The sequence below is a fragment of the Homo sapiens genome, chromosome 5 (assembly GCF_000001405.40).
Source record: "Homo sapiens chromosome 5, GRCh38.p14 Primary Assembly".
NCBI classification, from domain to species: Eukaryota; Metazoa; Chordata; class Mammalia; order Primates; family Hominidae; genus Homo; species Homo sapiens.
This window is the reverse complement of record NC_000005.10, coordinates 72687041-72702806: the sequence shown is the minus strand read 5'-3', so window position 1 is coordinate 72702806 and position 15766 is coordinate 72687041. Positions and strand designations below refer to the sequence as shown.

The window sequence follows — 15766 nt, the reverse complement described above, 5'->3', positions numbered from 1 at the left end:
TGATCTTGGCTTACTGCAACCTCCATCTCCCAGGTTCAAGAGATTCTCTTGCCTCAGCCCTCCAAGTAGCTGGGATTACAGGAGCACACCATCATGTCCAGCTAATTTTTTGTATTTTTAGTAGAGACAAGATTTCCTCATTTTGCCCAGGTTGGTCTTGAACTCCTGAGCTCAAGCAATCCGCCTGCCTTGGCCTCCCAAACAGCTAGGATTACAGGCGTGAGCCACTGCACCTAGCAAAATTAGGCAAATATTTCTTCATGAAACACCAAAAACATGATATATAAAAAAACAAATTAAACTGAACTTCACTAAAACTAAGAACTTCTTCTTTTCAAAAGATCCTTAACTGGCACAAGACAGGGAAGCCCTCTCTCACCACTCCTATTCAACATAGTGTTGGAAGTTCTGGCCAGGGCAATCAGGCAGGAGAAAGAAATAAAGGGTATTCAATTAGGAAAAGAGGAAGTCAAATTGTCCCTGTTTGCAGATGACATCATTGTATATTTAGAAAACCCCATTGTCTCAGCCCAAAATCTCCTTAAGCTGATAAGCAACTTCAGCAAAGTCTCAGGATACAAAGTCAATGTGCAAAAATCACAAGCATTCTTATACACCAATAACAGACAAACAGAGAGCCAAATCATGAGTGAACTCCCATTCACTATTGCTTCAAAGAGAATAAAATACCTAGGAATCCAACTTACAAGGGACGTGAAGGACCTCTTCAAGGAGAACTACAAACCACTGCTCAACGAAATAAAAGAAGACACAAACAAATGGAAGAACATTCCATGCTCATGGATAGGAAGAATCAATATCGTGAAAATGGCCATACTGCCCAAGGTAATTTATAGATTCAATGCCATCCCCATCAAGCTACCAATGACTTTCTTCACAGAATTGGAAAAAACTAATTTAAAGTTCATATGGAACCAAAAAAGCACCCGCATTTCCAAGACAATCCTAAGCCAAAAGAACAAAGCTGGAGGCATCACGCTACCTGACTTCAAACTATACTACAAGGCTATAGTAACCAAAACAGCATGATACTAGTACCAAAACAGAGATATAGACCAATGGAACAGAACAGAGCCCTCAGGAATAATACCACAGATCTACAACCATCTGATCTTAGACAAACCAGAGAAAAACAAGAAATGGGGAAAGGATTCCCTATTTAATAAATGGTGCTGGGAAAACTGGCTAGCCATACATAGAAAGCTGAAACTGGATCCCTACCTTACACCTTATACAAAAATTAATTCAAGATGGATTAAATACTTAAATCTTAGACCTAAAACCATAAAAACCCTAGAAGAAAACCTAGGCAATACCATTCAGGACATAGGCATGGGAAAGGACTTCATGTCTAAAACACCAAAAGCAATGGCAACAGAAGCCAAAATTGACAAATGGGATCTCATTAAACTAAAGAGCTTCTGCACAGCAAAAGAAACTGCCATCAGAGGCAACCTACAGAAGGGGAGAAAATTTTTGCAATCTACTCATCTGACAAAGGGCTAATATCCAGAATCTACAAAGAACTCAAACAAATTTACAAGAAATAAACAAACAACCCCATCAAAAAGTGGGCAAAGGATATGAACAGACACTTCTCAAAAGAAGACATTTATGCAGCCAACAGACACATGAAAAAATATTCATCATCACTGGCCATCAGAGAAATGCAAATCAAAACCACAATGAGATACCATCTCACACCAGTTAGATGGTGATCATTAAAAAGTCAGGAAACAACAGGTGCTGGAGAGGATGTGGAGAAACAGGAACGCTTTTACACTGTTGGTGGGACTGTAAACTAGTTCAACCATTGTGGAAGACAGTGTGGCGATTCCTCAAGGATCTAGAACTAGAAATACCATTTGACCCAGCCATCCCATCACTGGGTACATACCCAAAGGATTATAAATCATGCTGCTATAAAGACACATGCACATGTATGTTTATTGCAGCACTATTCACAATAGCAAAGACTTGGAACCAACCCAAATGTCCATCAATGATAGACTGGATTAAGAAATTGTGGCACATATACACCATGGAATACCATGCAGCCATAAAAAATGATGAGTTCATGTCCTTTGTAGGGACATGGATGAAGCTGGAAACCATAATTCTCAGCAAACTATCACAAGGACAAAAAAACAAACACCACATGTTCTCACTCATAGTTGGGAATTGAAAAATGAGAACACTTGGACACAGGAAGGGGAACATCACACACCGGGGCCTGTCATGTGGTGGGGGGATGGGGGAGGGATAGCATTAGAGAGATACCTAATGCTAAATGATGAGTTAATGGGTGCAGAACACCAACATGGCGCATGTATACATATGTGACAAACATGTTGTGCACATGTACCCTAGAACTTAAAGTATAATAAAAAAAATTTAAAAAAAGACAGAAAAAAAAGAGAATAAAAAGACAAGCCACAGATGGGGAGGAAATATTTGCAGATCATATATCTGATAAAGGACATGTACAAATAATATATAAAGAACTTTCAAAGACTAATAATAAGAAAACAAACAACGCAATTAAAAAATGGACAACACATTTGGATAGTAGTTTTACCAAAAAATATATATGTATGGGAAATAAGCACATGAAAATATGCTGAACCTCATTCGTTACTAGGAAAATACAAATTAAAACTACATTCAGATACCACTACAGACTTGTTAGAATATCTAAAATGAAAATGACTGACTCTCTACCATGTGTTGGTATAGATGTGGAGTAACTGGAACTCTCATCTACTGCTGGAAGAAATGGAAAATACTACAGTCAGTTTGGAAAACAATTTCTAAAAATAATTTCTGAAAATGTTAAACATATACCTACTGTCTAATCCAGTCATTCCTTTCTAAGGTATTAATCCAAGAGAAACGAGCATATCTCCATACCAAGAGTTATACATAAATGTTTTCAAGAACTTTATTTTTAATAGCCCCAAGCTGGAAACAATTATAATATATCCATCAACAGGTAAAAGGGTAAACAAGTTATAGTATGCTCACATAATGGAATTCTATTCAGCAATTTGAAAAAAATGAACTATTGATACACACAGCAATATGGATGGATTTCAAAACAATCACATTGACTGGAAGAAGCCAAACAAAAAGATTAGATAGTGTATGATTCCATTTATGCAAAATTATAGAAAATGAAAACTAATCTACAGTGACAGCAGATCAATAGTTGCCCAGAGATTGTTCATGGGGCGGAGATATGCAGGAAAAAGGCATTACAAAGGGGTGTGAATAATCTTTTGGAGGTAATAAGTATGCTCATTTTCATAATTTTTGGGATGGTTTTACAGATATATTCATATATCAAAACCTCCAATAATGTACACTTTACATATATGGATTATATTGTTCATTAATTATGCCTCAATACAGCTCTTAAAAATATGTAACAACTTTTCATTAAAATCTTTTAAAAAAGAATTTTACTTATTTTGCATTTTTAAAAAGAGTGAATTGAACACAATTCAATACCTTCTGAGTGACTCTGGGTCATCATTGTGAATATGAATTATTATGAGACAGCCTCAAAAATGAACTCAGATGAGTATAAGTGATTGAGTTTATACCTGGGATTTTGGTCTGTTCTTCAAGTTCTTCAGGCCCCTCTCTCTGCTGTCAGTGTTCATGACCCCCTGCCACCAGCACATCCTCCTCTAATCTGAAACTTTCTTTAAAGCACCGTAGGCCAAAGGTGTATTGCCAAACCTTTCTACAGACTAAAGTTTACAGGCCACCTCAGCAGATGCCATCCCCCCTTATTTCTGAATACTAAGAAGTTCTCACTTGCTCAACATCGTTGGGCTAGCCCCAGCCTTCTCTCCCTCTTCATTTTCAAGGTCAATCCCAGCCAGTGGGACATGTGTTACCTTTCAAAGGCATGACTAGTAAACGTTCTCTGTTCAGTAAGTGAATGAATGAAAAAGAGATGAAAAACTTCTATAACCTGACATATGGTATCTTCTTTTTGGTGCCTCTATCTGAGTTGCTGATCTTTCAGTGCTGTTTTCTGGAAATGCTGCACTGTGGGATCCTGCTGTGGCTTGTGGTGACACGGACATTAGAGACCAGGGACCTAAGGTGTTAGTCACATTACATTGTGAACATCTAAGTCCCAGAGATGAAAGGAACAGCGTGATTGCTGTGGAAAATGACATACACTTTGTTTTGTTGCTAGCTCTGTGTATATGGAAATCGGGATAATCTTTGTCTGCCAAGACAGCTAGATATTTTCACATTTCTTTTTCTCCTCTTGATCATCCTAAATGTTTTAAGTTATTTCTGGTGCCTCTTCTATCATTTATTTTGAATGCAGTAAGCCTTTCTCTGCAGGTTTGTTGACGTCTTCTCATTGAACTTTCCTGGAAACAAGCATGTTAATGACATATTTAATGTCGGTATAAGCCATTGATTTGGGTTTGTGATATTTGCTGGAACATTGTGTCCTGAATAAAACATAAAAACACACTAAAATGTAACCTAAGAAACTGAATATTTAAATGGTCACGAATGAGAAAGCACAATCCAATTATTTTTTTCCCCTGGAGTATAAAGAATGTGGAAATCTAAATCTGAGGGATTCATATTTGATTTTAAGAAGTGTTATGTTTCAGAAAAATTCTTTTTAAGAACAAATAAAGAATACAAATAATGACATCTAAAAAGTTTCTTGCTTAAAATTCCTTTAAAAGGTGTAGTATAGATGATAGTAAAAGTCACTTGCTGGCATTTATCATTGAAATGTTGGTCTTTAGAAATGAACTGCTGTAAAAAAATAAATTTGGTATTGCTGCTGTTCTAAAAAAAGCATACTGAAATCATAATCCCTCTGAAGTTGATGACTTCATTTTTTTCATTGTTGAAAACTGTTACTCTGCTATTGGATTAATTAAGAGTCTGTGTTCAGAAATCTTTTTTTTTCTTTTTTCTTTTTTTCATACAGGGTAATGCTTTGTCACCCAGGCTGGAATTCAGTGGCACGCTCAAGGCTCACTGCAGTCTCAACCTCCTGGGCTTAAGCAATCCTCCTACCTCAGTTTCCCAAGTAGCTGGGACTACAGGCGTGCACCACTACACCTGGCTAATTTTTCTATTTTTGTAGAGATGGGGTTTCACCATGTTGCTCAGGCTGGTCTCGAACTCCCGGGTTCAAGCGATCTGACTGCTTTGGCCTTCCAAAATGCTGGGATTACAGGAGTGAGCCACTGTGCCCAGCCTGGAAATCTTAACTTTGAAATAGGAAAACAAAATTAAGGTTTTTTTCTTGCTGTGGTAAATGGTAACATTGGCCCTAATCCTTCAACCCTTGCTGTGTCTCTGTCCTTTGCTATGTGAATTTACAGTTCCCTTCACTCCTGTGAGTGGAGGATATTTTCTCTGCCCTGTGATATTGTGCTGGCTGAAGAGAATAGAACAGAAGCAACAGCATAACAGTTCTGAGTCCAATTCTTTTGTGATTCTGTTTCTCTTGTGCCTCTGCCATTACCATGAAAGAATATGCCTCCTCTCAACTGCCCATAGGTGGAAGAGGGTGAGGGGCACAAGGAACAGAGCCACCCAAACTGAGCCCAGGCTAGATCAGCTGGGCCCTGGCCCACACAGCGATGTGCAAATTAAATAAATGCCTATCGTGGTATGCCACTGAGATTTTATGGTTATATGTTACACAACATTATCATAGCAATATCTAACAATACTGTACAAAGAGAATTTCAATGATAGCACCAAAAATAGTTATCCACAGTGAGTTTTCTAAACATTTGTAGCAAAACGACATATATAGTGTTTTGCTTGTGTGTTAAGATCCTAGATTAAAAATAATTGTGGTAGCAATTCTTAGAAATGTAGATGTTAATCAATCCATGATAATATTAAATTAAATAAGTCATATGAAAAGTATAAAAGTTCGGGTTGTGCTTGCCTTACTTATTCATCTTTTACACAATGTCTGTTACCTTTCAATACATTCAACAAATTCTTACTGAATTTGAAATAAATGAACGAAGGAGTGAAATGTCTTTTCCTTCCTTAATTTTCATTATTTTTTTCCCCTTAAAAGTTTACTACAAAAAGGCAAAACATCTAAAGAAGAGACTTCAAACAACAAACAAACCAATCAGAAATTCACAAATCATTGCTCTAGGTCAGTGGTTCTCAATGGGATGTGACTATGCCCCTCAGGGGAATTTGACAATGTCTGGAGACATTTTTGGTTGTCATATCTAGGGGTGGGGTGCTAATGACATCTAGTAGGTAGAGGCCAGGGATATTGCCAAATATCCTACAAATGCACAAGATAGACACCCCCCCCATAATAAAGAATTATTTAGCCCTAATAATTTTGTGTGTCCTTTGATTATTTTTGTATTCTTTTGTCTTGCAGGTTCCTAAATCTTTCCCTCTTGTTTCTTTTTGCATTCTCTACGCAGTCTCCAAAGATCACCAAAACTTTTCCTTTATCTTTTTCTTCCCCAGCCTTTCCAGAACTGCCTCCCTGAATCTCATGTTACTTTTCAGTTTCTTCCTTGTTGTCTGTATTCTTATCCACAAAAACTCTCTTTCAGTATTTTGACATTGAAGATGGGCTTTCTCTTTCTGGGAGCTATTTTAGCTTAATCCCCTCTTCTCTCTTCCTCCCAGATTTTCTGGAGATCCTCTTTCCCCTGATCAATCTCTGCTAAGGTTTGTAGTGGAAGATTTAGTATAGTGTGTCTGTACATACATTTTTTTTGTTAATTACAGATAATTTAAAGTTTGTAGTGTTACTGGTTTTGATGAAGGTGTGGAATTTGTGTATGTATCTTTTTTCTTCTTTTTGACCTATGTTGTTTTTGGGAGGATGTGTGGAGATATTCAGATTTAGGTAGCCACCATTATCTCAGCTATCCAGAAATGATGTCATTTGTTTTTTAACTTTCCTTGTAGTATCCTGGTTGTAAAGAAGTTTTGCAATTTTGTGTAGTTAAATCTGTCTTTCTATGTTGTTTGTGGACTTTCATCATGCTTGAGAAATGTTTGTTCCCCTCAAGATTGTAAAAATGTAATCTCATATTTTTTCCAGTATGTTTTTTTAAACAAAAATTTAAAAATCTGAATGTATTTATATTGTAGGACATAGGATTCAATTTTTTTTTCTTTTTCTACTTCTATTTTAGAGCAGAGTACATGTGCGGGTTTGTTACAAAGGTATATTGTGTAATGCTGAGGTTTGGATAAACTGAAATCATTACCCAGGTGGTAAGCACAGTACTCAACAGGTAGTTTTTCAGCCCTTTCCCCACTTTCTATCTCCTCCTCTCTAGTAGTCCCCAGTGTCTATCATTCCCATTTTTAGGATATAGGATTCTAATTTTAATTTTTCCTATAGATAGTAGATTTAAAAAATAATATAGGATTTCAGGCAGGTAAGTGTCCTTCCCAAATTCTTAGGCTAAAGAAATATTAAAGCCTGTATAGGGCATTTGTAAAGAATTTTGATGTGAAAATTCCCTGGTGCAACCTATACCAACTTGCGAATAAGCATTTGAAATACAAGTATTTAAAGATTAGGAAATGATTGTGCTCTGTGCACACAATCAGGCATGGCAAATAAATTTTGATTCATGTACCATCTGTAGTTGATAATGGCTGCCTTGGAACTCTGGGTTGAGAAAGGCTGTCAGGCCAAATTTGAGCTCAGCTGAAAAGAAGGACATAATGACTAATGATAGGGAGAAGTGAGTTGTGCATCAGTGGAGATGCTGTGAATACAACACATTGCCGTTCCCATAAGCACCTTTAATTTTCATCATCATTGCCTAGGATGGTGTCTGGCATATGGTAGAGCTTGAGCACAAAAGTTAGGCTGCCTGGGTTTGGTTGGATTCTGGCTTTAGTACTTACTAGTTTTATAACTTTGGGTTGATTATTCAGCCTCTCAGCATTTCACTTTATCTGTGAAATGGGTGTAATAATAACATCTATCATATAAAGTTGTTTTAAAGAATAACAACTTATATGTAAAATGTTTAGAATAGTCCATGATTTATTATAAACAATAGTTATTATTATTATTATTCCAGATGTTAGTTATCTGTGGAATGAATATATTCAGCTGTTTTATTACAATGTTCCTTGTGTGTATAGGAAATTATGCTAGTATCTGTGAGTCTAATGGTGTTAACCACTCTTTTGGAAAGCTTAATTATACTCAATAAGAGAATCATATTCAACCTAGATGTTCTATTTAGTATCTACTTACCCGAATTATAGAAAAATTATATTGCCTTTAGATATTAACCTTGCAAATCCAGAAATTTATAATGTGACCCATTGTCTTAACAAACTCAGAAAAGTTTATTGGGAGAATGAATATGAGGTGTTATGAGCTCCTCAGAAGAAAGTTGCTATTAAGTACAGGATCATAAAATCATGAAATGTGAACTAGAATATTGTGAATCTTTGACATTTATGTCCATAGTTGAATCTATATTAGGCTAATAAATTTCTAAGGGAGTTAATTTTAGTAATTTCAGAAATCTTATTTAAGTACGTCACACTTAAATAAACTTTGCACAGCAGATGCTATAGGTGAGAACATGAACTTGAATCCTATTCTCAGGAAGAGGTTTTCAAAAATAAAGAGAGCATATTTCGATTTGTTTATGTACATTTACTGCAAAGGAAGAGCCAAGCAGTCATCAATAGTGCAGCTGTGGATAACTATTGGCTTTAAGCTTTGCTTTAAATGAATCTGTGTGTGTTCTGCCTTGGATCACTTCCTGAAGTCAATACTCATTGGCCTCAAAGGACCTCTCTGAGATCTAAAAAGATGTCTATCCATGGAGATAACATTTAGGGAGATTACTACTGTGTTTTAAAATTCATGTTTAAAATCCACTCTCTTTAAAAATAATCATTGTTATCTTTCAGGAAACAAATCAGATGCAATTACGTAACTGTGTTTCTATTTTCTGTTGGAAATTTTAGAGAAGATTATCAAGGTTATCTGTGCTCAATGTGTGCATCTCAGATCAGCAGCATCAGCATCACCTGGGAGCTTGTTAGAGCTGGAGACTCTCAGGCTCCACGGCAGACTTCCTGAATCAGAAGCTACAATTTAACAGGATCCTCGGGTGATCTGAAAATGCAATAAAGTTTGGGAAGCACTGCTGTTGGTCATTAGACAATCTAATGAACTAAGACTTTTGCCGAGCATCTGGTAGGTGGAGGGGGTCCATCATACAATTCTGAATGGCAGTCATTTAGATAAGTACAAGTTGGCTAAGGTGGGAATAAAATGTTTGCTCAAATGATCTGTTAATTTTTGTAAAAAGAAGAAAGGGCAATAATACCTGAAGTTATTGAATTGTAATACCCGAGGGTATTAAAATGAAGAAAGGCAGTGTCTGATGGCTGTGTGTCAGGGGAGTCATGCCCTATTGCATAATTAGGAGTGTATTGTTTCTGTTCTCTGCTTTTACAGTCAGATAAACATTGAACAGACATCACATCTGTTTAGTGATTCAGGAGTTGGACTTTCGAGGGGGAAAGTTATCTAATTATAATGTCACTAAACGTGTGCTAATTTCACAACACTCATTTTTCGGTCTTCTATGGAGAGTGAGATTAGGAAACATCCAGAAAGGGCAAGTCAGGTCTGTAGAATGAAGTCAGCAATCATTGGTTAATTTAAACAAAACAGCCACCCAGCCCAACCCATACACAATCATCCTGTTGCCTTCTGCAGACACTTTCTCTGTTGGAGCTGATATCCGAGGACATTTATCCTCTCTTTCCCAGGCTTAAAGCACAGGTGGATTTAAAGCTCTCTTTCGTATGGTTTGTCACGAAGTAACAGTAACTGATAGATGGTGTCTCCACTCTGGATATAGAGCGAGCTAATGAGCTTTGACAATGACCACTGGTTAAAGACCCAGGACTGATGAGTGCGCTAGTGACTCTAGTGACCCCAGCCTACTGATTTTTATTGACAGCCTGTTGACATAACTAAGAGTTTGTGATTTAAGCTTTTTTAAGCCCTTAAATAAAATAAAAATAAGGTCTTTCTAATAGTACTTCTTTGTAATTTGTCTTAATTAAACATACCACCTTTTTTGGAAGCACTCTGTTTTTTAGTTATTTGCAAAATGGCTTTGTCTAAAGAGAAGTGTGTGTGCGGGTGTGTGTGTGTGTGTGTATTTTTTACCATCCTGCCTCCTGCTATGGCAAAACTCAGCAACATATGAAACCCGAGAGCTGTAATTGATTTTTCCATTTCTATGTTCTTGGGAGATGGAAGTAAAAGGGTTACATCAGAATCTTTCTAGAAACATTCTGCTCTAAATCAAACTCTGCTGGTGAGTAATCGTTGTTGCCTTGGTGAGCTTTATTGCCATTTGCTGATGCAGCTTGCTGTAGCCAAACTACCACAAGGGACGTATAATGGGAGCCCTGTATTCAAGCCCTTCTTGGAAGAAATCTATAAAAGAGCAGAGATGTGAACCTAGCAATAAATCCTAGAGGCATTTGTGCTGGAGCCATGAAATGATACCAATAACTCCTTAGTAACATATTAAAGGGACAATAAAGGGAACTCGCCAGGGAATTTTATGTATTAAGGCTATTTTTAATTGAAACTCATCAAAGAGACAACAGAGCATGAGACAGCAGCTGTTTCCCCATTGCTTTTCATTCATTTTAGATTTTATTGTGAACTCTACTTTTATCTTGCCACTTAACTAACAGCTCATTATTTAAAACAGCCTCAAAGATTGGTCAACGCTACTCAAGAGCCCCTAAGTGGGTTCATCAACCTATAAGCTCCACACTTGTTCTCACCCTTTCAGAGCTGCTTTCTGTGATCTCATCTAGACGTCCTCAATAAGTCAGTTAAGTAATCGGCCAGTCAGTTTAGGTTGAGTTGGTGCCTACTATGTGTCTAGTAGTATGCTAAGTGTCACAGAGAATATGAGGAAAGAGAGATCACTGCTCCTCAAGGGGCTCAGAGCTTATTTAGAGGTGCTCAGAATAAAACAAGGGGGCCAGGAGAATAATGCAAAGTAGAGTTAAATGCTAAACCGTTTAAGGAGTGGGGATCTCAGGGTGGTGGGAATAATGAGGGAGGGTTTCTTGGAAGAGGAGGACCCGAGATGGGCTCTGAACAGGAGGCAGAGAGTAAGGGCAAGTGGGAGGTGTTGTAGGTGCAGACAGGGCTGTCTGAAGCATGAGCTTTATGTTAGAGACCGGTGGGAAAACTTGGATGAATTAGGGGTGGGATGTAGGGTAAAGAAGATGATATAGGAGGACTTCACTTGGAGAAGACCAAACTGGAGCCAGAGAGGTAAAACTGTGGTGCCTCCAAGGCGGGAGAAGATAAGGGAAGGGGAAGGGGAAGCGGGTATAGTGGGGGAAGGAAGAGCCGAAGAGACATTGTAAAGGGCTTGAGGTCTCTTTCCCCCATTTTAGAAATTCCTTAGCTAACTTCCTTCCTACTCAATGTTTCTCAGAATGTGTTCTGTGAACCACCTACATTGAACTTGTTAAAAAGGCAGATTTTTGGCAGATTCCTTGGACCTACTAAATTAGAATCATTGGAAATACAGATCTTTAATAATTCCTATACATTTTACCCAGGAGGAAATGGAAGCTCAGGGAGGCTAAGTAATTTGCCCAATTATCACAAAGCTCAGAAAGTAGTGGAGCTGCGGCTTGCATCCAGCCTCCAAAGTTCATTCTGTTTCTATCCCAGTTGCCTCTCTGTTTACTCTATCTCTATGTTGTATGGAGAAACTAGGCTGGCCACATTTGTGTTGTGGCTTTCATGTGTTTATGTTTTTAAAAAAGTTTTTTCTTGTGTGCTGTGTGTTTGCGGGACAAACATTCTGACCATAAAGGGAATAAAAAAGTTATCCTCAATATTTTACCTCATCAAGTGAACTATTTTCATTTATAATGTTTCTAATGGGCTGGGAGAGATAGCGTAAATGTAGCAAAATGTCCACAATTAATCAATCTGGGTGAAAAGCTCTTGGTTCCATTTTTTTGTCTTTCCTTTTTTTTCTATAGAGTTGAAATTTTTCAAGATGAAAAGTTGCTAAAGAAAGAGAAAGGGAAGCGGTTTGCTCCAGTATTCCTCTTTCCACCTTCCCACTGACTGGGAAGCGGCGGTTAGCAGAGCCACAGTCTTGGATTAGAGATAAGAGGGACATGTTGAGGAAGGTGGAGTCTCCCCCACAGCCCTGGACCAGGTACGTCTGTGCTAGTGTTCAACACAGAAATAAACACCTATCTTATTTAACAACAACAAAATGACAACACAACCACTTTTAGTTATCAGTGTGGTTTCTGGACTGCTTGGGTCCAATCCCAGTTCCTCCGCTTGCTAATTAGGTGAGTTATTGAAACCTGTGTCCCAGTTCACATGTTTTAAATGGGCGTAATATCACTTTTCCATAGGGTTGTTTTGAACATTGGTCACAACATGTGACACATGTAGAATAGTGCCTGGCATACAGTAAGCATTCAATACATGTAATTACTATTACATGCATTTAATACGTGTATCACATGTAATTAAATATAACTATAAAACACCAACGAAGTTGACAATGAACTGCAAACCTGGCTCTGAGGGACACTGGGCAAGTTTTTGTGGAAGTCAGAGGAAGAAAGTGAGTTTCATATTGGTTTGGGATTTGAGATAGTTCTGCAATAAAAGGAATGTTGGTGTCAAACTAGGTATAAATCTGTATTTTATGTGATAAACAACCTATAAAAAGGCCATAGGAAAAGCAAGTCTATTCATTTACTTTCAGGCTCCAGTGCCAACAAAAGCCAAGAAGAACCTCTGGAGCAATCAGTCTGTGAGTGCCTGGGATATATTGCTGTTACAATGGGGTCAGTGAGGGCCAGTTGAGAGAGTGCTAGGCTGACAGACAAGGACCTGGGCTTCCAGCTCTGCCACCTACCAACTGTGTGATTTCTCTGGTTTTAGTTTCCCCATCTGCAGGAGGGGGTTTGATTTTAAAGATCTGGATTCTTAAGTAAGTATTGCCTGGAGGAGTTTCTTTGAATTTAAGCAGAGATCATTCAATAATGCTTCACCTTTCATTTCCAATATAGCAGGCAGATATTTATTGTTATGCCAGTCCTTTGATGCCTACTGACTCAACCCATGCCCTCAGCTTTACAGCCTGATGCACTTATCTGGGTGGAGACGTTTGCTTTCCTGCATGGATCCTTGTTCATTTGTTCATTCATTCATTCATTCATTCATTCATTTAATATATATGTATGTGCCAGACTCTAAGCTAGGCTCTGGCTACACAATGATAAACAAAACAGCCATAGTCTCTGTGTCCTGACATGTAGAGTCTCATGGATGAGGCGGCCAATAAACAAGGAAGCCAACAAAAGAAAATATACTTATAGAATTGTGTTAGGCACTATAAAGGAACACAACGAGCATCACTTGGTAGGCTGGCTGGGAGATTTCTGAGGATATGAATTTAGGCAATCATCTAAATTTTAGGGGAAAGAAAGCTCTCTTTTTATTACTCTCAGATATAATCACTTTAGTAGTATTAGGCATTATATCTACATCTATGTCTCTGCTGCTCAGCCTGTGTCTGTATCCGCATCTGTTTCCATTTTCATTTCCATATCTATATCTATCTCCAAGGAAGCATATAGCTTGTATTATTTTACAACTTGCTTTTTTATTTTTGAAACAAATCCCAGGCATCACATCATTTCATCTGTAAATATTTCAGCATATACACATGTTTTTCCTTGGGGGGGTTCGTACTGTACTGAGGTGGTAAGGGAAATAACAATGACAGCTATCAATCATTGCATTTGGGCCACTGAGAATAATTGGACAAACAGTTCTTACTCTAATAGCTTTCCAATAATAGCAGCAACAATCATTAACATTTATTTAACATTTACAACTTTATCCCAATTTTCTCATTTTATTCTGTTAGGAAGCATTTTTTACTCATTTTACAGACAAGGAAATGGAGGATCAGAGAAGTGACACAGACATCCTCAAGTTGACAAAAGAGGAGAGACACTGCTTACACATTGTCAGTCTAGGTCTGAATTCTCTGCATCTTGATGTCTTCTGATCACCAGGATATGCCCAGTGCTCCTAAACTCTAGTTAACAAGATGCATTGGGATTTTAATTGGATATTAATTAATAATTTGGACTGGAAGTGTTTCCTCAGCATGACAGAGCAGATAAGACCAAAGTAAATATTCGATAATGTATTTAGTAAGATCCCACTTTTAAGAACTTACTGGCACATATGCAATGTGAAAGAATTATACCTTCCAAAAAATATAAAGAGGCCCTCAAATTCTAGGAAATACTGGATACCAAGTGAGCTGTTTGATTTCATTTCTGTCTGTGAGTTTTTCAGTTTCTTATAAAGTAACATGTTCTTTCCTAGCATATACATTTGAACACAAATTTCAAGTCTTGAGTCATATTATTAAGCACAAAGAGCTAGATATGTAACCCACGGATAGGGAGGCAACAATGGATGTGCTTCCTCTCCAGCAGAGGAAATCAAGCCCTCCTCCTTGTTATTCCAGTCTATCACAGCAAACTGATTACTAGGATGCATTTTGAATAGCTCATCTAAAATGACTCGAGGCAAGCAGACACTTGAGATTTTATAATCAACCTTTGGGCTTCTATAGATCATTCTTATGCACAGAGGGCACCTTTGACAGATGAATAAACATGCGTGGGTTTTGCTGGGTATTAAACTGGTCATTCTTGTATGCTATTAAAAGATTTTCTATCTGGGTTGCCAGATTTCTGCAGAGACAGAGAAACAAGTATTTTTTAACTTGAAAAGATTCCATGATACTACTAGTAATAATAATAATTAACCTTTCCATCATGCTTTGTAGTTTATCAGGAGCTTCTAATTATCTTATTAACAACACATTGAATTTAGCATTCTTTTCACTTTCAATGTTTTAGATGAGGGAACTTAGACTAAGAGACATTTAGTGACTGGAAACCATGTGCTTCAATCATGGGTTCCAGTGTTTTCTGTAGCAATTTGTAGCTTTGCACACTCAGCAATCATAATGAACAATAAGATTTCAGTTCCAGGGATGGTGCTAATATCTTTCTTGGATGATGAAGGTTATCTAAAGAGGAGACAATCCAATCTATCACCTTCTTATGCTTCCAGCTCTGCTGAGGGAGTGCATTTTGCTTCCAGCACAGTGCTCAACTCACACAGTTCCCATGGAAACCCAGGGGCTACAGAGGTGTCTAGACCCTGTTTGGCACTCTAACCAGAAGTATTCCCAGAGACTACAAGCACACTGCACACCTTGGCTCAGTTTCAAACTGGAGACAGGCAGAGAAAGAAAGATCTTCCTCCCCTACTTTCCCGGGGAGGTCTTGAGGAGACTTCCTTTTTGTTAGTTGTTTCCAAATTGTCCCTATCTGAGTGGTTCTCAAACAGTGGGTCTTCGCGTGGTCATGAAGGGCCTGCAAGAAGATAAGGGCACCAAGCGTGGCCTGTGGCTGAGATAAATGAAGCATCTCTCATATATGTGTTATGATTTTTCAAGTAAATGAGGTTGCTATTGGGCTTAATTAAAATAAAAACTAATTTAAGAGCAATGCTACATAGCTTTTTGCCATGATGTATTTTTGTAACCAGTGATTATGAAAACTACTGCCACTCTCACGTGGGGAA

At 37.8% G+C, this 15766-nt stretch overlaps 1 long non-coding RNA gene across 16 annotated transcripts in view; it reads left to right on the top strand.

The window, feature by feature from the left end:
• The window catches only part of TNPO1-DT (TNPO1 divergent transcript), a 245434-nt gene that overhangs the window by 113742 nt on the left and 115926 nt on the right, over nucleotides 1–15766 (top strand). For 4 of the 16 annotated variants that reach the window (NR_186517.1, NR_105007.2, NR_186513.1 and 1 more), the window contains 3 exons: nucleotides 9025–9256; nucleotides 12103–12284; nucleotides 12852–12899. This is a non-coding gene — a long non-coding RNA (TNPO1 divergent transcript). Of the gene's footprint in view, nucleotides 1–6115; nucleotides 6200–9024; nucleotides 10113–12102; nucleotides 12285–12851; nucleotides 12900–15250; nucleotides 15688–15766 lie in introns of those variants that run through there. The other 12 variants (NR_186516.1, NR_186514.1, NR_186521.1 and 9 more) reach the window with 6 other exon arrangements.